General features: G+C 39.5%; 1 long non-coding RNA gene and 1 pseudogene across 1 annotated transcript; one reads left to right on the plus strand and one right to left on the minus strand.

The window, feature by feature from the left end:
* Positions 1-925: 925 nt before the first annotated feature.
* On the minus strand, positions 926-27,963 carry LOC101927830 (uncharacterized). Its single transcript, NR_109985.1, has 4 exons — positions 27,654-27,963; positions 20,437-20,499; positions 5,649-5,746; positions 926-2,156 (listed from the first exon to the last, which is right to left on the minus strand). It is a non-coding gene; the product is annotated as an uncharacterized LOC101927830 (long non-coding RNA).
* TMLHEP1 (TMLHE pseudogene 1) lies at positions 3,370-6,027 on the plus strand (annotated as a pseudogene).
* Positions 27,964-27,991: the final 28 nt, after the last annotated feature.

Below are 27,991 nucleotides of genomic sequence, written 5' to 3' on the forward strand. Positions count from 1 at the left end.
TCTCATGAACAAGCGTACACAGGAATTACGATCATTTTTCTGTTCTCTGGTATAAACAATGAGTTAAAGAATTAAGGACACCTGATTTCAAAACCTCTCTGCTACGTATGAACTCTGTGGCAGGTCTCTAAGTTTCAGTTGCCTTAAATGTAAAAGGAGGTTAATAACACCTTTCCTTCTGGGATGATGAAATAAGTAAATTAAATAATATTTTCACAAATGCCTAACCCAGCACTAGAAGTTTCTGGAAATGACAATGGGTGTCAACAGCCTGGTGAAGACTGTGCTTCCTCACTCCATTCTCCCTCCAGGCATGGCTCCTTGAAGCCTGGGAGGATGGACTATTATATTCTTTTTCTTTCTTTCTTTCTTTCTTTCTTTTTTTTTTTTTCTTTGAGACAGAGTCTCGCTCTGTCGCCCAGGCTGGAGTGCAGTGGCGCGATCTTGGCTCACTGCAGCGTCCGCCACCCAGGTTCAAGTGATTCTCCTGCCTCAGTCTCCCAAGTAGCTGGGACTACAGGCGCGTGCCACCGCGCCTGGCTAATTTTTTTGTTGTTTTGTTTTGTTTGTATTTTTAGTAGAGATGGGGTTTCGCCATGTTGGCCAGGCTGGTCTTGAACTCCTGGCCTCAGGTGATCTGACCGCTTTGGCCTCCCAAAGTGCTGGGATTACAGGCGTGAGCCATCGCGCCCGGCCTATTTTTGCATTTGATTCTTGCAGTAGCCCTGTGAGATCAGCTAAGCAGATGTTATTATGCTCATTTTATATGCAACAAAACTAAGAATGTTGGCTCTGATTGTGCCATGTACTATCTAACACTAAGGAATATTGCCTGAGATATCCAAAAATGGCACCATTGGATGTTAATTTATCTTTGGAAAGAATATCTTTGGCAGTATCTAGTAAATCTGAGCATACACATACCTTATGATCCATAAGTTCCATTCTTAAGTTTATTTCAAACAGGAGTGAATATATTTGTTCACCAAAAGACATGTAATAGAATGTTCATAACAGCACTGTTTGTAGTAGTTCCAAACCGGAAATTACTCATATGTCCATCAACAGTAGAATGGATAAACTGTGGTGTGATCACGCACTCAACTTCCATATAGCACCAATAAACTATTGCTAAGCAATGATGAAACTCCTAAACATAATATTAAATGAAAGAAGCCAGACACAAAATGAATACATATTGTGATTGCAATTATATAAAGTTTTATATAAACAGGCAAAACTAATCTTTGGTGATAGAAGTCAGGATGGTAGTTACCCGTGGGTTGGGGGATGGGCGTTACTGGAAAGGGGCATAAGGGAGGGTTCTGGGGTTCTGGTAATGATCTGTTTATTGACCTGGGTGCTAGTGATATGGATGCGATTACATCATGAAAATTCATCAAGCTTACGATTTGTGTACTTTTTCCGTAATGTATAGTATACTTCAGTAAAAAGTTAATTTGCCTTAGGCAAAACAGAAACCCATTATCTTAGGCAAGGTTTTTCAGTGGCTTCCCATGGTACTCAGAATAAAATCCAAAGTCCTTACCATGGCCTGCATGGCAATATATACATGATCTAGCCCCTGACTACCTCCTCCACGTAATTTCTCCCACCATTATTCCCCTTGCTTACTCAGCTCCAGCCACGTGACCTTCTTACTGGTCGGCAAACAGAATAAAACTCCATTCCACTCCAAGGCTGTGTTTTTGCTTTTCCCTTTGCCTGGAATGCTCTCCCCTCAGCCTGTTACATTGTTGGTCTCGTATCATACAGGTAACAGCTCAAATGTCGCTTCTTCAAAAAGTCCTTCACTTAACACTCCATGTGAAATAGATTTCCCAGTCGCTCTTTATTATATAACACTATTATTTTTTCATAGCATTTATAGCTAGCTGAAATTACTTTGTTTATGTATTTATTACTTGTTTATCATCTATCTTCCTCAATAGAAGGTAAACTCTGTCCAAAGACTGAGGTCGTGTCTGCTGTATTCGTCCTTGTATCTTTAATGCCTGACGCACTGCCTAGCATGTAGCTGGTGCGCATATAAATGTTAGGGTTGAACGAATGATTGAAGATCCCTGGGTGAATGGTCCACTAGGCTATAGCTGGGATTCCTCCCACAAAGGGAGACACTTAAGTTGTAAGTCATCCTGTTAAAAGGAAAGCTTTGTTAGTACAACCTCTCTTGTCCACCCCACCTCAGCTTGGTGAGGAGAAAGCTCAGCGCTTTCCCCAGTGCTTCCATGACCTTTGGCCAGTAAAGACTTAAAATATCATATCATAAGATGAGAGAAACAGTTGGAACTTAACTTCTATCCCGTATCCTTAGATTATTCAAAGAAAAACAAAACACGGTCAACAGGCAGTGGAACTCCTCACTCCAATGTGATATTCCTGAGAGAATATTGACTTATCGTCACTTCGTCTCTGGGACAAGTATTGAACATAGGGGAAGCCTTATATAAAATTGTTCAATAAACAAAAGATGTCTTTAACATGTGTTTGAGATCTTTCTTCTCATGATTCCATGTTAGGTACAACAACTATGACCGGGCTGTCATCAATACCGTTCCTTATGATGTCGTCCATCGCTGGTATACAGCACACCGGACTCTAACGATAGAGTTGAGGAGACCTGAGAATGAGTTTTGGGTCAAACTAAAGCCTGGCAGGGTGGGTCCTAATCTCTAAAGATGTCAAGCAAGCTTGTAATACTGAAGCAGTGAAGAACGGGTACTTACTTAATATGTGAGTCACGATGTTGCAAAGGAAAAAGAGAAAAGAGTCCTTGGTTTTGTTTATGGTCCTGCCGCCCACTCACTGAATGCTCTGGAAGCAAGCCTCATCCCATCTCTAAGGCATCAGTGACTCTATTTGTATGATGAAGGGGTTTAACTAGATGACCCCCAAGGGTCCTTCCAGCTTCATGATTCCATAGTTTTTATTTTTGGTATTTCCTCTGGATGAAAAATACCTTCAGCTTAGCATAAAATGTCATGAGATAATTTAACCCTTTGAGAAAGGGTAGAATAAGAATTAAAGAAAAAGAAAAAGAAACAAACCAATTATCTGATTTACTTTGATAAGAGAACAATTACTTGAGAAACAGAAGCTCCTCCAGTGCAGGGCCCATTACCTACTGTTGCCTCTGTAACTTCCATTTAGCCTACTACAGGGCTATACACATCTTAGTTTCCAAAAGTTTGTTTAATTTCAAAAGAAAAATATCTCATTTAATGCAACCAGAAAACAACCTAAAGGTTATCTTTTAAATGATCTCTTCTGACTTAGGGTTCCTTTGGTCTGTCCTTCTTCTGACAGTGTTTTCTCTCTCTTTTTTTTTTTTTTTTTGGCCCATTCACAGGTCCTATTTATAGACAACTGGCGTGTCCTACATGGCAGGGAATGCTTCACTGGCTACCGCCAACTGTGTGGCTGCTATTTAACAAGAGATGATGTATTAAACACTGCTCGCCTCTTGGGGCTTCAGGCTTAAAATTGACAGCATCTGGATTATGAATACACCTGGCACCCTGGCTACCAGAATTTCATATGGGCAGAATAATATTGTGTCAAACTCTACTTCAGATTGTCTCCTTATCCCATCCCACAAAACAGAATCTGTCCGTTTCTCTAGTAAGGGAGACTTGTTGGAGAGGCGGGACTCTGAGTTATCTAATGTCAGACATCTAGTGGGGCAGCTCTCTTCCTCATGTTATAACATGGATCCACTTGTTTGATTTAAACCTTTTAATATAATTTTGGTCAGTCTCCTTCAGAAATATAATCTCCATATTGATAGGAAAGCAATAATTGCCATGAGGTAACGATTTTTTTCCCAAGTAGATCAGTTAGAAAGAAATGCATTCTAGAAATAACAAAAATCCTGATAAAGCAACAATTTGCAAAATGTTTGGTCTTAGGACACCTTAACACTCTTAAAAGTTATTGAAGGCCCCAAGGAGTTCTTGGGTGTGGGTTCTATCTATTGATACTAATTATTTTAGGTATTAAGACTGAGAAATATTTAAAGCTCAAGAAGAACACAGAAGCACACATCCCTCAGCTATGAGAGAGATGACATAACCATATGTCATGTAGCCTCTGGAAAAGTCCTCTGTATCCTCATGAGATAACGAGAGGGGGAAAAAAAGCTACTACTGCCTTTGTAACTTCCACTTAGCCTACTACAGGGCTATGCACATCTTAGTTTCCAAAAGTCTGCTTAATTTCAAAAGAAAAATGCCTAATTGAATGTAACTCATCTTGGTGTTATTATACAAAATAATTTTTAATCTGCAGACCCACGAAAAGGGTCTCAGGGACTCCTCCAGGGGTCTTCAGACCATACTTTGAGAACCCATGGGCTAGCGACTACCTTGAGACAGTCCTTTACCTAGGCCTGTGGATTAAAGGGTTTAGCTGAAACCCTAGATTCTTCTCTGTAGTCTAATAGAACTCCAAACATTGTAAGAATTGCTTGGTAGCATAAGCTCAGGGATAAGGTGGGAATTGAGTTCAAATATAGTGTTTTATCTTCCACACAAATCATCTCTATAGGAGTTAAATTAGGAAGTCACAACAGCGCCTGTTGAACAAACTCATCAGTGTGGTAATCCTATGAGGGATAATTGCAGAAAGGTTTTAGAGACTTGTGAGGTTCCATATGATAATTCTTTACACCTCCCCCCCCAAGAGAAAGTACACAGGGCTATTCTGTAATATTGTTCAGGGAAATCAGCATGATAGATGCTGTGCCTCCAGAGAGTTCTCTGGAGATTACTACCCAAATGTGTATTTTGGCAATTTGGTGGTATTTAGGATGTAATATGTTTTCCTCCATTTCTGCTAATTTTCTCTCTCTCTCTCTCATAACATACTATACATGCTAATTGCCAAGATTTGAATGAGTCAAATTTAGTAGCTTGCTGCTTTTATTTTTTAAATGGCTTCTTTTACGTATTGGCGGGGGCGGGGAGGGGGGCAGGGTATGAGGCTTCTTTTCCCTCAGCTTTCATTGAAAGTGAAGCTGTACAATAACCACATTGACCACTGTAGAATGATGAAAGAGAATATAGGCTAGGATGCACACAAGAGGGGGGAAAAGGCATTATTAGTGAAGATAGGAGTTACAAAGCAAAGCAAAGTCAGTATTCAGATAGAGAATAGAGCCTAATCTGATGTTTGCAGGGAGTTCCTAGATCACATTTGGCAATTTACACATTATTTTATTGACCTATCCAGTGCTCCAAAATGTGTTCCAAAATATTTTGGCATTTTATTTGTACTACATAGGAATCTTTAGGGGAGTCCCTGAAATTTGTTTTCCTCTTAGGTCAAAGGACTGATAATTAACTTTGGTTCTTAAGGAGTATGCCCTTTAGCAATAAGAACAGCAATAACATTTTACCCTGCAGTTTTTTCTCTATACCTACTATTATGCACTCCTAAAATATGTCATCATTAGTCTTCATGAGGATGTTTACCATTTCTGAAGTTTTGCGTAAATTAGCCTTGAAGATTACACTATAACTGAGGTCATCAGCATTGACTTATGGCCAGCAAAGGACATGCTCATGGCCCTGGAGAGATGAGGACACAAAACAAATCAATTTCCCCACTTACTGAAGGACTCCCCTTACCTTCTGTCTCTCCTGAGACCTTGACTCATTAATTATTTTACTCTCCTTTTTGGAAATTTGCAACCGGTCCTTCTCAACAATGTGCTCCCTTTAGTACACTGAAGAAAAAGAGAAGGGGATTATTTGAGTCCTGATCACGATGCATTGAAAACTTCCTATGTGAGATGTTTCTGTTTTTATATCTCTTCCAGGTGTCCCTGAGTATATAAGCATGGGTCTATGTCTACCAAGCTCACTGTAGAGTCACTTTTACCTTTTGCTATGGTGGAATGGGATCTGTAGGGTCAGGAACACAGCACCTAACACAGTGCCTTATGGATAGTAGTTTTATAATACAGATGTGTTGGAAGAATAAATGAATGGGTCCTTTTCAAACAAATTCACCAGAAGTTACCACATTCTCTGTATGTATGTCCTTTTTCGTTTGGCATTTAGCTGACACTGACTTTTGTTTGCTTTCATCTAGAGTGACCAACCATCCTCTTGTGCCCAGAACTACAGGACTTTCCATTTTAAAAGTAGGAGAGTCCCACACAAACCAGGACTGTTGGTCAGTCACCGTACCTTCTTGCTGCTAGATATGTAATTTTCTTTGGTTTTCATCACCGGTTCCCATTTCTTTGAAAGTGTTTGTAGGTCACACACTGTGTAGTCCATGATGAAAAGAACAAAAGATGTATGAATTATGGTGTGTTGTGGTGGTTCCCAAAGTAGGGTCCCCAGACCACCAGCAGTGGCATCATTTGAGAACTCCTTAGAAATGCAAATTTTCAAGGCCCACCCCACGCCTACTAAGTAAGAAACTCTAGGCATGGGTACCAGCAGTTTGTTTTAGCAAGTCCTCTGCAGGATTGTAACACATGACAAAGTTTGAGAACTACTGACAGGAAGAGTCCTGCTGCTGAGTTCTAGGCCCAGTTCTGTCACTGGCTCACTAAATGACTTCAGGCATGTCCCTCTCCTATTTTGAACTTCAGTTTTCTCTTCTGTGAAATGAAAGCCTTGGACTAGGCAGCGTCTAAAGGCTCTGTCACTCCGTAATTGTGTGACTTTGGTAACTTTGTTTGACTTCTCCTTGCTTAAGTTTTCTCATATGGGTATGGTAAGGAAAATACCTACCTCACAGGATTTTCTAACAATTTTGTGATTATTAAGTATGATGACTGATGACTAATATATGACAGCCAGCTCTTACACAGTGCTTTCTATATCCTGGACTGTTGTAAGTGCTTTTAATCCCCGCAACAATCCCATCTCCATTTTACAAATGAAAAATAGAGGTCACACGGCTAATACGTGTCAGAGTTTGGATTAAAACCCAGAAAAATCTGTCCCCAGAGACAATGATTTTAACTAGCATGCCCTTTTGCTCAATAAATGTTAATTCCCTCACCCTTTCCACACACACACAGTCTAGCTGACCATTCATAGACAATAATCCCACTTTCACAGTCCATCCAACAAGATCTTAAAAGAACCATGAGAATCTCTAGGTTTCTTTTGCAAATAGTTTTCAAGCATTTAAAAAAAAAAGGTGGGGGGCGGGGAGGGAGTGGCCAAGATGGCTGACTAGAAGCAGCTAGGGTGAGTGGTTCTCATGGAGGGGAAGGAAAGGGGCGAGTAAATACAGCGCCTTCAACTGAAACATCCAGGTACCCACATTGGGTCTAATCAAGGAAACAACTCGATCCACAGAGAATGAAGAAAAGCAAGGCAGGATGACAGCCCACCCAGGAGCAACATGGAGACAGAGGAACCTCCTCCACCCAGGGAAGTCGTAAGTGAATGTGCGATCCTGGGAAACCACGCTCCTCCCATGGATCCTTGCAACCCTTGGGTCAGGAGATCCCCTGGTGAACCCACTCCACCAGGGCCTTCAGTCTGACACACAGAGATACATGGAGTCTCAGCAGAGTAGCCGCTTGAGCACGTGCAGAGACCCAGCAGCTTTACATACTCCGGCCCTGGGTTTCCCAGCAAAAGTAACTGCAACTCCTGCAAAGCGGGAGATTAGACCCCTGTACATACCCCTAGGAAAGAGGCTGAATCCAGGGGGCCAAGCGGCACGATCTGCGGGCCCCACTTCCACTGCACCTCACAGGATAAGACCCACTGGTTTGGAATTCCAGCCAGCCACCAGCAGCAGTGTTGCACCTACCTGGGACAGAGGTCCCAGGGGGAAGGGCAGGCTGCTCTCTGGGACAGAGCTCCCAGAAGTGGTACCCCAGAACAGCACAGCACAGCTGCTCTTCAGAAGCATGGCCAGACTGCTTCTTTAAGCAGGTGCCCAATCTGTTCCTCCTCACTGGGTGGGACTTTTCAACCAAGGCCTCCAGCAACCCCTACTGGTGTTCTCTGGCTGACAGAGATTTGAATTCTCCCTGGGACAGAGCTCCCGGAGGGAGGGAGGGGCCACCATCTTTGCTGTTTGGGCGACTTAGCTGTTCCGGCCTCCAGGCTTTGGAGAGCCCACACCAACCAGGGGTGGAAGCAGTGCCCCAGCACAGCACAGCTGATCTGTGAAAGCATGGACAGACTGCTTCTTTAAGCAGTTCCCTGATCCCGTTCCTCCTGACTGGGTGAGACCTCCCAACCAGGGTCTCCAGCCTTGTCCTGCAGGCGCATTTGGGCTGGCAACAGGTCTGTACCTCGCTGGGCCGGAGCTCCCAGAGGAAGAGGCAGGCTGACATCTTTGCTGTTTCACAGCCTTCACTGGTGATAGCTCCAGGTACTGGAAAATCCAAGGAGACTAGGAACTGGAGAAGAAGCCCAGCAAAGTACAGCAGCCCTACAGAAACATGGCCAGACTGTTAAAAGAAAAAAAAAATCCAAAGGTCAGCAACCTCAAAGACTGAAGGTAGATAAGCCCACAAAGATGAGAAAGAATCAGTGCAAGAATGCTGAAAACTCAAGAAGCCAGAGTGCCCTCTTTCCTCCAAATGACTGCATCACCTCTCTAGCAAGGGTTCGGAATTGGGCTGAGGCTGAGATGGCTGAAATGACATAAGTAGAATTCAGAATATGGATAGAAATGAACTTCACTGAGTTAAAAGAGTACATTGTAACCCAATGCAAGCAAGCTAAAAATCATGATAAAACATTGCAGGAGCTGACAGACAAAATAGCCCATGTAGAGAAGAATGTAACCAACCTGACGGAACTGAAAAAACACACTACAAGAATTTCATAATGCAATCACAAGTACTAATAGCAGAATAGACAAAGCGGAGGAAAGAATTTCAGAGCTTGAAGACTGGCTTTCTGAAATAAGACTGGCAGACAAGAATAGAGAAAAAAGAATGAAAAGCAATGAACAAAACCTCCGAGAAATATGGGATCACGTAAAGAGAGCGAATCTAAGACTGATTGGTGTCCCTGAAAGAGATGGGGAAAACGGAACCAATTTGGAAAACGCATTTCAGGATATCATCTATGAGAAATTCCCTAACCTAGCTAGAGAGGCCAACATTCAAATTCAGGAAATCCAGAGAACTCCAGGAAGATACTCCACGAAAGGAACATCCCCAACACACATAATCATCAGATTCTCCAAGGTTGAAACGAAAGAAAAAATGTTAAAGGCGGCTAGAGAGAAAGGCCAGGTCACCTACAAAGGGAAGCCCTTCAGACTAACAGTGGATGTCTCAGTGGAAAACCTACAAGCCAGAAGAGATTGGGGGTCAATACTCAACATTCTTAAAGAAACTCCAACCCAGAATTTCATATCTGGCCAAAGTAAGCTTCATAAGCGAAGAAGAAATAAGATTATTTTCAGACAAGCAAATGTTAAGGGAATTTGTTACCACCAGACCTGCCCTACAAGAGCTCCTGAAGGAAGCACTAAATGTAGAAAGGAAAGATGGTTACCAGCCACTCCAAAAACACACTGAAGTACTCAGACCAGTGACACTACAGAGCAAACATGTAAGCAAGTCTGCAAAATAACCAGCTAGCATCATGATGAAAGGATCAAATCCAAACATACCAATACTAACCTTAAATTGTAAATGGGCTAAATGCCCCAGTTAAAAGACACAGAGTAGCAAGCTGGATAAGGAACTAAGATCCAATGGTATGCTGTCTTCAAGAGAACCATCTCACATGCAATGACACACATAGGCTCAAAATAAAAAGATGGATGAAAATCTACCAAGCAAACGGAAAACATAAAAAAGCAGCAGTTGCAATCCTAGTTTCTGACAAAACAGACTTTAAATCAACAAAGATCAAAAAACACAAAGAAGGGCATTACATAATGGTAAATGGTTCAATTCAACAAGAAAATCTAACTATCCTAAATACATATGGACCCAACACAGGAGCACCCAGATTTATAAAGCAAGTTCTTAGAGGCCTTCACAGAGACTTAGACTGCCAGGCAATGATAGTGGGAGACTTTTTAACACCCCACTGACAATATTAGACAGATCATTGAGACAGACAGTTAACAAAGATATTCAGGACCTGAACTCAGCACTGGATCAAATGGACCTGGTGGATATCTACAGAACTCTCCACCCCAAAACAACAGAATATACATTCTTCTGATCACCGCAAGGCACTTACTCTAAAATCGACCACATAATCAGAAGTAAAACACTCCTCGACAAATGCAAAAGAACTGAAATCATGACAAACAGTCTCTTGGGCCACAGAAGAATCAAATTTGAAATCAAGATTAAGAAATTCACTCAAAACCATGCAATTACATGGAAATTGAATAACCTGCTCCTGAATGACTTTTGGGTAAACAATGAAATTTAGGCAGAAATCAAGAAGTTCTATGAAACTAATGAGAACAAAGATACAAAGTACCAGAATCTCTGGGATACAGCAAAGGCAGTGTTAAGAAGGAAATTTATAGCACTAAATGCCCACATCAAAAAGTTAGAAAGATCTCAAGTTAATAACCTAACATCACTACTAAAAGAACTAGAGAAGCGAGAGCAAACAAATCCCAAAACTAGCAGAAGACAAGAAATAACAAAAATCAGAGCTGAACTGAAGGAGACAGAGACATGAAAAACCCTTCAAAAAATGAAAGAATCCAGAAGCTGTTTTTTTTTTCTTTGAAAAAAAGTAATAAAATAGACCGCTAGCTAGACGAATAAAGAAGGAAAGAGAGAAGATTTGAATAAACACAATCAGAAATGATAAGGGGAATATTTATCACTGACCCCACAGAAATACAAACAACCACCAGAGAATATTGTGAACACCTCTGGGCACATAAACTAGGAAGTCTAGAAGAAATGGACAAATTCCTGGACACACACACCTCCCCAAGGCTGAACCAGGAAGAAACTGAATCCCTGAACAGACCAGTAATGAGTTTGGAAATTGAGGCAGTAATAAATAGCCTACCAACCAAAAAAATCCCAGGACCAGATGGATTCACAGCTGAATTCTACCAGATGTACAAAGAGGAACTGGTAGCATTCCTACTGATACTATTTCAAAAAATTGAGAAGGAGGGACTCCTCCCTAACTCATTCTATGAGGCCAGCATCATCCTGAAACCAAAACCTGGCAGAGATACAACAACAAAAGAAAACTTCAGGCCAGTATCCTTCATGAACATCAATGCAAAAATCCTCAACAAAATGCTGGCAAACTGAATCCAGCAGCACATCAAAAAGCTTATCCACCACGATCAAGTTGGCTTCCTCCCTGGGATGCAAGGTTGGTTCAACATATGCAGATCAATAAATGTGACTCATCACATAAACAGAACTAAAGACAAAAACCACATGATTATCTCAATAGATGCAGAAAAGGCTTTTGATAAAATTCAACATCGCTTCATGTTAAAAACTCTCAATAAACTAGGTATTGAAGGACCATGCCTCAAAATAATAAGAGCCATCTGTGACAAACGCACAGCCAACATCATACTGAATGGACAACAGCTGGAAGCATTCCCCTTGAAAACCGGCACAAGACAAGGATGCCCTCTCTCACCACTCCTATTCAACATAGTATTGGAAGTTCTGGCCAGGGCAATCAGGCAAGTGAAAGAAATAAAGGGCATCCAAATTGGAAGGGAGGAAGTCAACCTATCCCTGCTTGCAGATGACATGATCCTATATCTAGAAAACCCCGTTGTCTCAGCCCAAAGGCCTCTTAAGCTGATAAACAACTTCAGCAAAGTCTCAGGGTACAGAATCAATGTGCAAAAATCACTAGCATTCCTATACACCAGCAACAGTAAAGCCGACAGCCAAATCAGCAATGAACTCCCATTCACAATTGCTACAAAAAGAATAAAATACCTAGGAATACAGCTAACTAGGGAGGTGAAAGATCTCTACAAGGAGAACTACAAACCACTGCTCAAAGAAATCGGAGATGACACACAAAAAAATGGAAAAACATTCCAAGCTCATGGATAGGAAGAATCAGTATTAAAATGGGCATACTGCCCAAAGCAATTTATAGATTCAATGCTATTCCCATTAAACTACCATTGACAGTCTTCACAGAACGAGAAAAAAAAAACTATTTTAAAATTCATATGGAACCAAAAAACAAAAAAAGCCCGAATACCGAAGGCAATCCTAAGCAAAAAGGACAAAGCTGGAGGCATCATGCTACCTGACTTCAAACTATGCTACAAGGCTACAGTAACCCAAACAGCATGGTGCTGGTACAAGAACAGACACATAGACAAATGGAACAGAACAGAGAACCGAGAAATGAGACCACACACCTACAACTAACTGATCTTCGACAAACCTGACAAAAACAAGCAATGGGGAAAGGATTCCCGGTTCAATAAATGGTGCTGGGATAACTGGCTAGCCATGTGCAGAAGATGAAAACCGGCTCCCTTGCTTACACTATATACAAAGATTGACTCAAGATGGATTAAAGACTGACATGTAAAACCCCCAACTATGAAAACTCTGAAAGACAACTTAGGCAATGCCATTCAGGGCATAGGCATGGGCAAAGATTTCATGATGAAGACGCCAAAAGCAATTGCAACAAAAGCAAAAAATTGACAAATGGGGTCTAATAAAATTAAAGAGCTGTGCACAGTGAAAGAAACTATCAACAGAGTAAACAGACAACCTACAGAATGGGAGAAAATATTTGCAAACTATGCATCTGACAAAGGTCTAATATCCAGCATCTATAAAGAACTTAAACAAATTTACAGGAAAACAAACAATCCCATAAAAAAGTGGGAAAAGGACATGAACAGACACTTTTCAAGAGGAGACATACATGCAGCCAACAATCATATGAAAAAAAAAGGTCAACATCACTGATCATTAGAGAAATGCAAATCAAAACCACAATGAGATCCCAACTAATATTAGCCAAAATGGCCATTATTAAAAAGTCAAAAAATAACAGATGCTGGCGAGGCTGTGGAGAAAAAGGAATGCTTATACACTGTCTGTGGGATTGTAAACAAGTTCAGCCACTGTGGAAGACAGTGTGGTGATTCCTCAAAGACCTAAAGACAGAAATACCATTCAACCCAGCAATCCCATTACTGGGTCTACACCCAAAGGACTAAAAATCATTCTGTTACAAAGACACATGCATGTGTATGCTCATTGCAGCACTACTCACAATAGCAAAGACATGGAATCAGCCTAAATCCCCAACAGTGACAGACTGGAGAAAGATAATGTGGTACATATACACCATGGAATACTATGCAGCCGTGAAAAAGAATGAGATAATGTCCTTCGCAGGGACATGGATGGAGCTGGAGGCCCTTATCCTTAGCAGACCAACACAGAAAGAGAAAACCAAATACTGCATGTTCTCACTTATAAGTGAGAGTTAAATGATGAGAACATATGGACACATAGAGGGGAACAACACACACTGGGGCCTTTTGGAGGATAGAGGGTGTGAGGAGGGAGAGGATCAAGAAAAACAACTAATGGGTACTAAGCTTAACACCTGGGTGATGAAATAATCTATGCAACAAATCCCCTATGACACAAGTTTACCTATGTAACAAACCTGCACTTGTACCCCTGAACTTAAAAGTTTAAAAAAAAAAAAAAAAGGAGTTAGTGGCTAATAAACTCTAAATAAAGCATTTCAAACTTAAAAGCAAAATCTAGCCAGGTGCCGTGGCTCACGCCTGTAATCCCAGCACTTTTGGAGGCCAAGGCAGGAGGATCGCTTGAGGTCAGGAGTTTGAAACCAGCCTGAGCAGCAAAGCAAGACCCCGTTTCTACAAAAAAATAGAATTAAAAGAAAAGTTAGTTGGGTGGAGTCATGAGTGCCTGCAGTCCCAGCTACTCGGGAAGCTGAGGTGGGAGGATCTCTTGAGCCCAGCAGTTCAAGGCTACTGTGAGCTATGATCACGCCACTGCACTCCAGCCTGGGTAACAGAGCAAGACCATGTCTCAAAAAAAAAAAAAAAAAAAAAATTCATCATTTCTAATTTTGCCTCTTCCAAGAATGGAAGGAAATTAACCTATTCAGTACTGTTTTTTCTCTTGAAAAATACCAGTCAGTTGTTAGGCTCAAAACCCTTTGATAGAACATATCCATATCACTGGCCCCAGGGTGCTCTTGGGCATATTGGAAATCCACTCACTTAGCTCAGCTGTGGATTAGCTCAACTCTTAGTTACGAGACCAGAACATGTCTGCATCCTCACCTCCTTAAGCCTGCAGCTCATCAGAACCAAAGACCCTGGCAGAGTTTGGTGGTAGTTCTTTTTTGTCAGACTTACAGTCAGGGGTTGGTGGGTTTGTGGGTAGCTCCATTCTAGTCCTGGGCTTTAATCTGTGAGTATGGCTTTTGTCTTCCATCTTGCTCAGGGTACTTTGGAACCGCTATACATTGCAGGAGCTTAGCTTCTGGTTACCATGGTTTGCTTCCAGAGCAACAAGCCTAGTACTTCAACATGGAGACAATTATCTTTTGTTTTTGTTTTGTTTTGTTTGTTTTGTCTTGGCCATGCCTTTTTGAGTTTACCTTTTTATATTTTGTCCATCATTGCCATGTGTTTGGAGCAGTGGGCGTTCCATAACATGAACTCACTGTACCATCACGAATGGGAAGTAAGGGGAAACCTTATCCATGTGGATTTTACTCTTCCCTGATTCCCTAAATTGGGTTTGCAAAATACTACTGTGCACTTTCTTGATGATTCGGGCTTATCTTTATGACTGTCTGTTTTTGTGTCAGACTGTAAAGAAGTATAAAAGTCTTTAGCTTGATTAATGCAATCCACGCTTCCTTTCTGGAAAAAAAAGGGGGGGGGCGCGCATTTTTTTACAGTTGCAATAAATCGTCTTAAGCCATGTTGGTGTATATCATATAGATTAGTAGTGGTGTTCTAGCTTACTTTCTGTGTGGGCAGGCAGGCACGGTAATTTATCCCCTGCACGACTAAAGATCACAAGGGCTAATGCTGTGTAAAACTGTGAACTCAGTGAAGGTTTTTCTCTGTTAGCCCCATCTTTCTCCATGGTCTACCCACTGATGGTGGCCACTCCCTCCAATTCAGGTACTCCCTCCAATTCAGGTACTCCCTCTCACCATCTGCTTTCTAACTTCCTCTCTGATGCCTTGACTGAGGCAGTGTCGTGTCACAGGAAGAGCACAAACTTGGAATGATCTGGGCTTGAATTCCATCTCTGACTTTTACTAGCCTGGGAAATTGTGGGAAGTTGCTTTCTTTCCTTGAGCCTGTGTTCCTACATATGCAAAGTGGGGCTAATAAATGCCAGCTAGCTGAAAAATCTATGATGAAGAATGAATCTATACATGTGTATAAAGTGTGAGCAGCACATAAAAAAACACTCAGTACATAGTAGTTGTTTATCATTGTTGACAATATCACTGCTTGAGAGAAGAGGAGGAATCAGGGCTAGGCTGTGTGTTTGACAGGAATCAACATTCTACTTAGGGGGAAGCAGCAAATTTATGACAGGCAGAATTGGAAAAGTATGTGAAAATGTTAGGGGTCAGAGAGAGTAGGCAAGTTGTGAAGCACAGATATATTGGCAAGACATCTGAACTTCTAGGCCGGAGGGTTCCTGGATAGGAAGTTGGCTTGGGGTTTTGGCAGTCCGAAGGCTGAGAGCTGAAAGAACAGAATGGTCAGGGAACAGGTCAGAGAGCCAGATGAGAAAAGCTGAGTCTGGAGAGTTTTAGGGAGAGTGGTGTGGTAATGAAGGTGTGTAGAATCAATGAGACAGGCAGGCAGACACCCATGCTCGTGATGATGCATAGTTAAGGTGGAGCACATACTTCCACATCTAACTTCACCATCTCCCAAAACCCCACTGGAACTGCTACAAATGTGATTTTTGAAAGGATTAGAAGGATAGGAGTGAAGATGAAATAAAAAGGGTTGAAGAACAGGAAAGGAGGCAACAACTAAATTTTGGATGCTGAAGAACAGATGGATGAGTGGCAACTGACTTAGCAGATCCAAGAAGGCCACAAACTAGGAATTCTGAGACCTTAGTGGGAAAAGCAAAAAGCTAACTTGATTTACTCCTCACCCCCAGGAATCTTCAAAGGCTGGACCAAGGTAACTCTGGAAGTGGAGTTACCTCTGGAAGTGAAGGGGGGTGGGTATCAAAATAATGAAGGCTGTTTGAAAACTCTTTTAAGAAGTAGATTCATTGCCAAATCCCCTCCTGCTGTCAATGCCAGTGAGGGGCTGGCCCTTCCCTGCTCTGACAGAAGCCTGGAGTGTTATTCCCTGGAGAGGGTAAAGCAGAGGGTCTCTGGATGGGGAGTTCGCAGACTTAGTTGAGGGCTGGGGTCCTGTACTGAAAACAGGGGTGTTGAGTGGAAGCATGTGTCCTGAAAGCTGTGAACTCCCAGTCTTCTTCCCTGCCCCTGCCCCTAAACTTCTGGCAGCTGGAAGAGTCTTCTGTGAGCCATCTGACCAACCTAAGAGAAAAAGATCTAAGGAGACTCACACTGAAGGCTCCCCAGTAAAGGGCTCACTCAGCTGGGTTACTCCCCGATGAGGTACATATCTTGATACTGTGAGGAAGAAGACACCCATTCAATTGAGGGTACTTATTTTTGGAATAGGAGGAGAGACCTGAGCATTTTAGTTACTGCAAGGAAAGGAGCCAGGCAGAGAAGACGGAGAGATTAGACATTCTTGAGAGAAGAGGTAATTGATGGAGTGAGGCACCTGGGGAGGCAGGATGGGATCGAACCCAGAGCAGGAGTGGAAGTGACAGCCTGAGTCAGAAGAAAGCACCTTCATCTTTCACTGAGATAGGATGAAAAGAAATGAGATCTGGTTATAGACTCAATTTGATCCATTATTATTTTGCAGCCACTATATCCAAGGCGTTGTGTGGGGTAGTGTTCATTCATCCATCCACTCATTCATCCAACATTTTTTGGAGCAACTACTGTGTTCCGGCACTGTGCTGCGTGCTGGAGATACCGAGATAAGTCAGACAAGGTTCCAGTCCTCAAGGAGCTCACAGTCACAGGACGAAAGCAGGCTCACAACATAGGGCAATATGTGCTGTGAAAACTGAGCACAGGGGGCTGTGAGAACACGGAGCAAGGGACACTGTAGAGAAGGGAATGAAGCAGGTATGGAAATGGATATAGAACAAGACATGGACTGCTCTGTGCATTCAAGGGCAGAGAGATCTCATCCAGCAGGGCCCATCTGCAGAGGTTTCATGAAGTTAGGTGGTCTTTGAGTTGAAACCGAGAGGATGCCTAGGGTTTCTTTCAACCTGCAGTGACGTGGGGGTGGGGAACGGGTGCCCACCAAGAGGTGAAAACAGATGCAAAGATCCAGAGGCAGGAAATTGCAAGAGGACATGTTCAGGGTAGAGGGAGAGGCCCTGGTTGAGCACCTGAGAAGCCCCGGTTGAGAGTATGCTGAGGCAAGTGGTAGGAGGTGCAGTTGTGAAGCAGGAATAGGATGAGATGCAAAAAATATCACTGAAGCAACATCACAAATTGCAGCCGGGTTGAACAAATGGATTGTGTAAAAAACACCAGACTGTGAAATGAGAAACCCGATTCTGTTTGAGGCCCAGCTCTGAAACAAACTTGCTCTTGATGTGGTGTGTAGTGACTCAGTTAATGTCTCTGAACATTGGTTTCTTCATCCATCAAGTGGTAGCAGGAACACCTTTCCTGCCTGTCTCATGGGGTTCTCGTGAGGAGCATATAAGTCAGTGTACGAGAAAACACCTTTAAAACAACAACAACAACAACTCTTTAAAGTGCCGGTGCACACACGTGAAGGCTTATTATTGAGGAGACGCTTGTGCTGGGAACACAACCCTAACCCTAACCCTAACCCCTAACCCTAACCAGGGGAGCAAATGTACTGAAATATTCTCCTAAAGGGATCCAACAACATTCCGAAACTAGTTGTTAGGTAACATGGGGAGCGAATCAACTCCTGTTAATTTGGAATGTCTATATGTCAAATTTACATACAATAAAAATAGATTTGTACTATCCTGGCGGTCTACCGATGATAGTACAACAGGAATTATACACACAAAAACATGCAAATGTCCGATTGTTCTTCATTCACTCAACCAACATTCATTGACCATTCTGCTGTGCACTGAGGGCAGGCACGCTGGAGGCCAGACAAATAGAATTTCTGCCCTCAAGATCTCCTTGTACCACGGGAGACACATGTATTAACAGCCAATGTTAACACCAGGTAAGCACAAGGAGTCTGTGGGAGCTCAGAACAAGGGTACCTAAACCAGTCTTTTGCAGCTGAGGTTGTATTAATATGAAGTAGTACCATTGCCCCGATTTTACAGATGAGGAAACTGAGAGTTAGAGAGCAAGTGACAGAGCCAGTACTCTAACCCAGCTGTTTTAATTCTGAATCCAGGGCTTTTTCTGTCTCGCCACAGCTGCCTCTTTTGCTTTGTAAATACTTTAGGTCTAATGCATATGGCAAAAGATAAGTTGTCTTGTGTGTCCCTGCCCATCCTAGACTGCCTGCTCCTTTCCAGAGACAAACAGGAATTTGGGGGTTAGAGCACTTCCGTGTGTCCAAAATGTTATATTTCAGATATAAGTAATAATAATAATAATTAATAATTAATAGTAAAAGTCCTCACCCTATCTATAAGTTCCTTTTGAAAGCTTCTCAAGAGTCCAGGAGTGTGTGTGCACACACGCATGTACGTGTGGGTGTATATGTATGCACGTGTACGTGCACGCATGCAAGTGGGTGCGTGTGCATAGGCGTTTGGAGTAGGGAAGGTTGGGAAGCACTGGCTCCTGCATTTTCAACAAACCTGGATACAGAGAAAATGGAAAATGAGCCCAAACAAAAAGGAACTTGCAGAAGAAGGCAGGTGAAAATAACCAATGAGAGAAAAGAGTTCTCAGGAGACACCAGGAAAGCAGTGTCTGCTGGCCACATCTACTGCTTCACTGGCAGTTCCATTAAAATAAAATATATTCCACTAAAATATATATAGGGAAAGTGGTTTCCTCCATCATGTTCTTCTGGGAATTTTGTGGAAATTTCCTGACGTTGTGTGAGTCATAAAAGGAAAAAGAAATAATTTCCATTTCTGGAAATATTGCAGATTACATAACCCGAAATCCCTCCTTGCTACACAACACCTAAAAAAGCTGGGTAACTAGTGGTCTGTGGTTGCCAAAAATGACATCCTGTGAACATCCGGGAGCCTCAAGCAATCCCAACGCTACGGCAACTGAAAAAAAAAAAAATGAAGGGATTGCACTAAGTAGCTCGTAAGATCCCTTTCATCCATTTCTTTGCACCATATCATTCTTTAGTTCTTGTATTCACTCATTCACTGGAACATTTACTGAGCACTGATTCTATATCAGGTATTGGCTGCGTTGTGTTTTGATGAATACAAAGTTGAAAGGCATGGTCCCTGTATTCAAATAGCTCACCACGTTGTGCAGTGGCTCTTGACCGGAGCTGCACATCTGAATCACTTGAGAAGGTTTGCAACAATGCATATGCCTGCCTTCCTCGCTGCCCTCAAGATTCTAACTTCATCCTGGAGGGAAATGAATAGCCCGGCATTCTTTCTGTGTTGATTTCTGAAACCCAGAGCCTGAAGGGAATTCAAAGTGTTAGACAGCATTCTATAGAAATATGAAAGGGAAAGGATTTCTTCTGGACAGGATAGATCCTCAAGCTCGGGGGAAGGTGCAGAAGAGGCGAGACCTCTGTCATTTCCAAGAGGAGTGGGAACCTGGGCCCTGCTGCCCGACAGCAATGCCAAGGAGAGACGTGGATTGATTTGAGAGGCATTTTGAAGGTAGAGTCCACTGAACTTGGTGTCCAATTAATTGCGAGAGAGGGGTTGAGGGAGAGGAAGTTGTCAAGATGACTCCCAGGTTACTGGTTTGGTCAACTGGGCACACCTTATTCACACAGGGAATATTAGAAGAGGAGAGAGCTTGGAGAGAAGATGTTTTCAGTCTTGGATATATTTGAGTTTGGGGTGCATGTGGAACAGAACATCCAGGCAGGGAAGTCCAAGAGGCAATTGGATACTCTTACCTGAAGCTTAGCAGAGTGTTCAACCTTGTATATCATTTTAAAGTGATTGCATCACTCCCAACCCTCTTAAAAACTTTCTGAGTAAAGCATAATACCAACTTTATACATTTCCTTTCAAAGAGCACACAAAAAAAATCAGTTCTTTGTGCCTCAGGGAAGAGCCACACCCAGTTACCTATATAACCATATTTTGAGTACCACCTCGTGACTTTTCTGCAGCCTTCAGTACCTGCTTTTAAATGGTCACATATAATAAATGCACTAAAAGCAGCCATGTCTCACCACCGTTTGCTTAGGGCAGGATTCCCATCAGCAATGGATCTTCATATTTTTCCACTTCTGAGCCTAGGGAAGAAAAATCCATGAAGGTAACCAGTTCATAAAGTGGCTCTTCTTCCCAAAATTTCTTGTGACATGTGGCTTTGAGCAATTAGGGCTCTTTCAACCCCTAGGCCCTTCCTCACTCATCTTAAGCTGTCATTGAGTGTCTGGCACCCCAAAGCACCAATCTTTCTTTGAGGCTACATATTCATGAAAAGTCTTCCCCCGCCCCCATCACATTCCTCTTCCAGAGAATTTGTGGGAGCTTCTTAGTGCTCTGGGAGTTTTAAAGGGGAAAGCAATTTCCATTTCTGGAAACAGTGCACACTAGATAACCTGAAAACCCTCCTGTTACAAAGCACCTTTTAAAAGGCAGGATAAAATTTAATAAATATTCCTTTTAATGCACATGTGATGAACTTATGGTGGAAGTTGACCCTCAGGTGTCAAAAAACAAAGAGGAACCTAAAGAGCAGATCAATGGGCATTTGAATTTATGTTAGGGTGGTAGGGGAATGGATTCAATAACCACCAGGGAGAGGAGAAAAGCCTTGGTGCCTCACAAGGGCTACACAGTCAGTGAAAGGATGGACTAGGAAAAAAAAGTCTTCCCACCACCATGGTGAGATGACAAGAGAGTTTGTTTCTTCATGGGTTCTGGTGGGAGAAAATAAAATGCTTCCCCTGGTCATTTGTAACTCTAAGGCTATTGTCATGTAGGTCTAGGGTTGGAATTAATACCTCTTATTTAGGTCTTGAAAACCCCAAGCTTACACATTAACATCAAAAAGATAACAGCCAGAGATACACCCCCAGTCAAACCTCATTGAAGTCACACAGATGAAGCCGTTTGAACAAATCCCTAAACTCACAAACAAAATTATAAAACACCTGAGGAAAAAAAAAAACCGCCTGTGATTGAGTATCAGCAAACACAATGATGAGCAGGATTACACTACCAAAAACTTTAGATAATAGAGCCAACCGAGAGTATAAAATAAGTTTGTATAAGATACTTAGAAACAATAAGGAATCCAAACATATGAGAAAGATCAAGATTCTACGGAAAAAGAAGAGGCCGGTTTCTTTCTTTAAGGAACCAAATAGAACTTCCGAAAATGAAAGACATTATTTCCAGTGACAGCAAAAGATCAGAGGATGGGTTTAAAAGCAGATTCATCTGCTTTAGTGAACTGGAAGATAGAAGTAAGGAAATTATTCAGAAGGCAGCAAGGAGAGATAGCAAATGTATAAACGGTTAAGAGATACAGAAAAATGATGCAAAGGTCCAAAAAAACTCTAATAGGAATGACAGAATCAGAGAATAAAGAGAGCAGGGGTAAACCAATAATCAAAAGGATACTGGCTGGAAATTTTCAGATTTGAAAACAGACATAGTTCCTCGTATTCTAAAAGCATGAGCCACAGCAAGAATCAATAAAACTGAATCACAGGGGAACCGGCGCAGGTCAACAAAGAAAAGGGGAAAGATCTTAAAATCAACCAGAAAGAAAAGACACAGTGCTATCAAAGGGATAATAAACTGACAGCAGACTTCTCACCAACTGCAATAAAAATGGAATCATATCACTAATGCATTCGGGGAATGGGGGGAAATGTCATACCCAACTAAACTACAATTCAAGAATGAGTGAAATAAAGATAGTCTTTTTGATATATTTTAAAATATTTATTTATTTATTTGTTGAGACAAGGTCTCACTCTGTCGCCCAGGTTGGGGTACAGTGGTGCGATCATGGCTCACTGCAGCCTCGATCTCATGGGCTCAAGGGATCCTCCTGCCTCAGCCTCCCTAGTAGCTAGGACTACAGGTGTGCACCTCCATGCCTGGCTAATTTTTTTTTTTTCCCCAGTAGCTGGGACTACAGGTGAGCACCACCACTCCCGGCTATTTATTTATTTATTTATTATTTTGTAGAGACAAAGTCTCATTATGTTGCCCAGCCTGGTCTTGAACTCCTGAGCTCAAATGATCCTCCCACCTCGGCCTCCCAAAATGCTGGGATTACAGGTGTGAGCCACTGCACCCAGCCAGTAAAGATATTCTTCAACAAAGGTTGAGAGGGCTGACCACTCACAAACCCTCACTGAAAGAACGACTTAAAGATGTTCTTCCATTAAAAGGAAATTGAACGAAAAGAACAAAGCAAGATGCAACAGAGGAATGGTGAACAAAGAAACTAGTAACCATGGCCATGAGTCCAAAAAAAAAAAAAAAAGACTGCATAAAAACAATATGACTGACCAAATTATAACTAAATACTGGACAGCACTGACTTGTAAGACAAGGTCCTTGCATTGTTTGCGGTGAAATTGGAGACGATTAAGATTTGATAAAATGAAGTGTTTGCGATTAAAAATAAAAAGACCTTGATAATTTCATATCCGTTAGTGTGGATTCAGATCCATTAGAAAGCTTACATTTATCTAAAACTAACTCCAAGTCAGCCGGAATATATCCCAGGAATAAAAAAATAACCCTTCAAAACCAGAGATTTTGTAACTGAACTCCGGTCCAGGCCATTCATCACCTGAAGGCCAAAAACTCAAAGAGAGGAGCTTTGGTGAAAGGAAAGTTAGCTTTATTTGAGAAGCCAGCAACCGGGAGGAGTCAGTGAACTAGACTTCAGTGATCACCTCTCTGAGTTGTGCCTCTGGATTAGGGTTTTTTAAGGGAAAGCAGAGGAAATAATGATCAAAACATTCTTCTAAAACGTGTTCAGTCTCAGGTGGGCAGTTAATCACTGCTTTCTTGGTCAGTGTTTTGTGACCTTCCACAGGCACCGTCAGCCTATTCTTACCAGGCTGGTCAGCCCCTTCCCAGAGCTGCTGGTTGGCGTGTTTTCTTTTATCTCTGTTGAAGGTCCTGTTTTCCTGAGACTATTTTTAGTGAATAATCTACAAACTCAAGCAAAGCAATAATCACATTCAAGCAAGCAAACTTTTATCTTAACTTGGAGTCAGTAACATTACAATTTATTTGTAAAAGATGGCAGAGTGAAGAAAGATAAAAGAATCTCCCTTCCCCGATCCTACTAAATAAATTAAAAAATAATACATAAATAATGGTAAAAAGCAGAATGAGAAGAAGAGAAGACTAAGGAGGAGAAGAAGAGAAGACTAAGGAGGAGAAGCAGGAGAAGGAGGGAGAGAGGGAGGAAAGTGGCTTCCCAGGAATATATATATATATATTTATATGAATATACATACATGCATTACACATGTATGTATATCTACATGTATATTATATAAGTATTTATATAAATACATGTATATTACATATATAGATACAAATATAAATACATGTATATTACATATATATTTATATAAATATACTTACATGTATATTACATATATATTTATATAAATGTACTTACACGTATGTTACATATATATTTACACCAATATACATACATGTATGTTACAAATATATTTATATAAATATACATACACGTATATTACATATATATTTATATAAATATACATACATGTATATTACATATATATTTATATAAATATACATGCATGTATATTACATATATATTTATATAAATATACATGCATGTATATTTACATGTATTTATATAAATATACATGCATGTATATTTACATGTATTTATATAAATATACATGCATGTATATTTACATGTATTTATATAAACATACATACATGAATATTTACATGTATTTATATAAATATATGTCTATCTATTTATATAAATACATGTATATTTACATGTATTTATATAAATATAAATACATGCATATTTATATAAATATAAATACATAAATATACATGTATATTTATATAAATATAAATACATAAATACACATGTATTTATAGTTATATAAATACATAAATATACATGTATTTATATTTATATAAATACAAAAATATACATGTGTTTATATAACTATAAACACATATATATTTATATAACTATAAATACATATATATTTATATAACTATAGATACATATATGTTTATATAACTATAGATACATATATATTTATATAACGATAGATACATATATATTTATATAACGATAGATACATATATATTTATATAACGATAGATACATATATATTTATATAACGATAGATACATATATATTTATATAATGTGTGTCATATATATTTATATAACGATAGATACATATATTTACATAACTATAAATACGTATATATTTATATATATTTATATAACTATAAATACGTATATATTTATATATAAATCTAAATACGTATATATTTATATATAACTATAAATATGTATATATTTATATATAACTATAAATAAGTATATATTTATCTATGTATGTAACTATAAATAAGTATATATTTATATATTTATAAAACTATAAATAAGTACAAATTTATATATTTATATAACTATAAGTAAGTATATATTTATATATTTATATAACTATAAATAAGTATATATTTATATATATTTATATAACTATAAATAAGTATATATTTATATTTATATAACAATAAGTATATATTTATATACATTTATATAACTATAAATACGTATATATATTTATATAACTATAAATACATATATATTTATATGTATTTACATAACTATAAATACATATATATGTATTTCACTATAAATACATATATATGTATATAACTATAAATACATATGTGTATTTATATAACTATAAATACATATGTGTATTTATATAACTATAAATACATATATGTAGTTATATAACTATAAATACATATATGTAGTTATATAACTATAAATACATATATGTAGTTATATAACTATAAATACATATATATGTAACTATAAATACATATAGATGTAACTATAAATACATATATGTAGTTATATAACTATAAATACATATATATGTAACTATAAATACATATATGTGTAGTTATATAACTAAAAATACATATATATGTAGTTATATAACTATAAATACATATATATGTAGTTATATACCTATAAATACATATATATGTATTTATATAAGTATAAATACATTTATATTTATATATACATATTTATATATAAATATACATATATGTATTTATATCTACGTATTTATATATACAAATATATACGTATTTATACATACAAATGTATACGTATGTATATATACGCATTTATATATATAAATATATACAGATTTATATATATAAATATATGCACATTTATATATAAATATATACATATATAATATATGCACATATATACACATATGTATACATACATACGTATATACATATACATACATATATACATATACATATACATACATATATACATATACATACATATATATGCATATATATAAATATATAGGTATTCATATATACATGTATATTATATAGGTGTTTATATATGTATTTATATATGTATTATATATAGTACATATATATGTATTATTGTACATATATATGTACTATATATTTATAGTACATATATATATATGTATAAATTCTTGTGGGGAGGATGGCTGGTTTAGCACACTTCTCATTCTGTCCCCACCCCCTGGAAGCAATACTGAGGAAAAACAATGTGAGCCAGTCAGATCCTGAGAATGGGATGTAAGGCTCTCTAACTTGAGGAGAAATGGACTGAGAGAATAAGCAGAAAAAAGTAAATACCTTTGTGAACAGAAGCCCTCAACTGCCACTCCTAGATTTCACCAGCGGTAGGAAGGCTCCCAATTCTTTCCATTTTCCAAGACACCGTGCTGAGTTGGGCAAACAAAACAAAACCCTCAGAGTAAGACACACCCTTGCATGGATGGACTAGAGCATGATACATGATATTTAGCAAGATCTTAGAAGAAAAGGTAGATTGAAATCAACATCCCACCTGCCCTCAAATTATCACCCTCAGAATGTTAGAGCAAATAGAACGTCTGACAATGTTTTCCATAATTGAAATAAAAATAAATGGTTTAGCAATGATGCTAACAATCTACAGGGATAGAGGGAGAGGGAAAAGGAGGGAAGAGAGGAGAGAGAGAGGGAGGGAGGAAGGAAGGAAGAAAGAAGGAAGAAAGGAGGGAAAAAGAGAAGAGGGGAGGAGGGAAGGAAGAAAAAGAAGAAAAGAAATAAGGAAATAGAAAGAGAAAGAAAGAAGAAGAAAGAAAAAAGAAAGAAGAAAGGAAGAAGAAAGAGAAAGAAAGAAACCATCATAGTATACAAAAGACAGATAACCATCACAGACTGGAAGAATGCATAAAACAAGGAACAGATGCAACTAACCCTAGAGTTCTCTAAGCCATAGTAAAATTTAAAATATGATTTCAACTTAACAAAGTTTCAAAGACCAGATGATTGGCAACCGAATATGATTTTTTTTTTTTTTTAAAAAAGGAGATTACTGAGCTCAGAAAAGAAACCGAGAACTCAAAGAACCACATGGTGGATCAAAGAAGTAAATTAGGAAGAGCAAGATGCAGAAGAGACATGCACACAAATCGAAACAAGGGCATGGAGGAAGGACTTTAGATGGTCACGCTAATGCTGATCCAACATTAAGATAATTTACATGCCTTAAGTAAAGAGCCTAATAAATGGGATAGAAAAATATCCACAGATGCCATATGTGAAAAGTTTCCAGAAATAAAGGAAGAATTGAACCTGCTCCTCAAAACGACAAAGTCTCTACCATCAAAAATTGATGCAGAACAATCAATATTGAGATATATTCTAGTTGTGTTATGGTACTTCAAAAAAAATTAAAGAATTTCTTAAATTCTTTAAATTAAAGACACCTAAGCACGTGCGCGTGCACACGCGCGTGTGCACACACACACACACACATCAATTACTTACAAGGGAACAAATTTGTTCCACTTAAATATAAAAGTAAAATGTAACATCTCCAGAATGTTTCTGCTCCTGGGTGAGATGAAGCATGCACACTCTACTGAATGCAGCTATAAAATGTGGACACAGTGCATGGGCCAGCTATTTGAGGACTCTGAAAAGTAAATGGAAGGAGGCAGACCGGGGAAAGACTACAATTTGAAGCACCACTGAAACAGCAGTGAATTTGACATTTTCCCCCCTTTAGTATCCTTGGCTCAACGTAGCCTGCAAGTTAGAAGTAGACAGTGGTGTGAACAGAGAGAGCTCTGGTTCTGACTTGAGAAGAGGGAAAAGGGAATACTAACCCTCAGCGATAGTTAAGGGAATCCCCAGTTTTTCTTTCTTCTTTTCTTTGTACTTTCATGTTCTAGCCCACAGGCAATCCTGTGGCAGCAGTGGTGGTGACAGAGGCAGTGACAGTGACAGTGGCAGCCGCCAGGGCCTTCAGGTGATTAAAGCTCTGAAGGAAAGTAACCTTCCTCTCTGATTGTAGGTCCCAAAGGGGTGCCCGTGACTTCTTTTTCCCCTCTTTGGTCTTCCTGCCGAATCACACCAGAGGAAGGCAAAGGCACAGGAAGCGTGTGGCAGAGAAGAGTCACTAAAGCGACAGCAACAGCTTCATGGCTACAAGGTTGAAAAGGGG

The sequence above is a fragment of the Homo sapiens genome, chromosome X (genome assembly GCF_000001405.40).
Source record: "Homo sapiens chromosome X, GRCh38.p14 Primary Assembly".
Taxonomy (NCBI): Eukaryota; Metazoa; Chordata; class Mammalia; order Primates; family Hominidae; genus Homo; species Homo sapiens.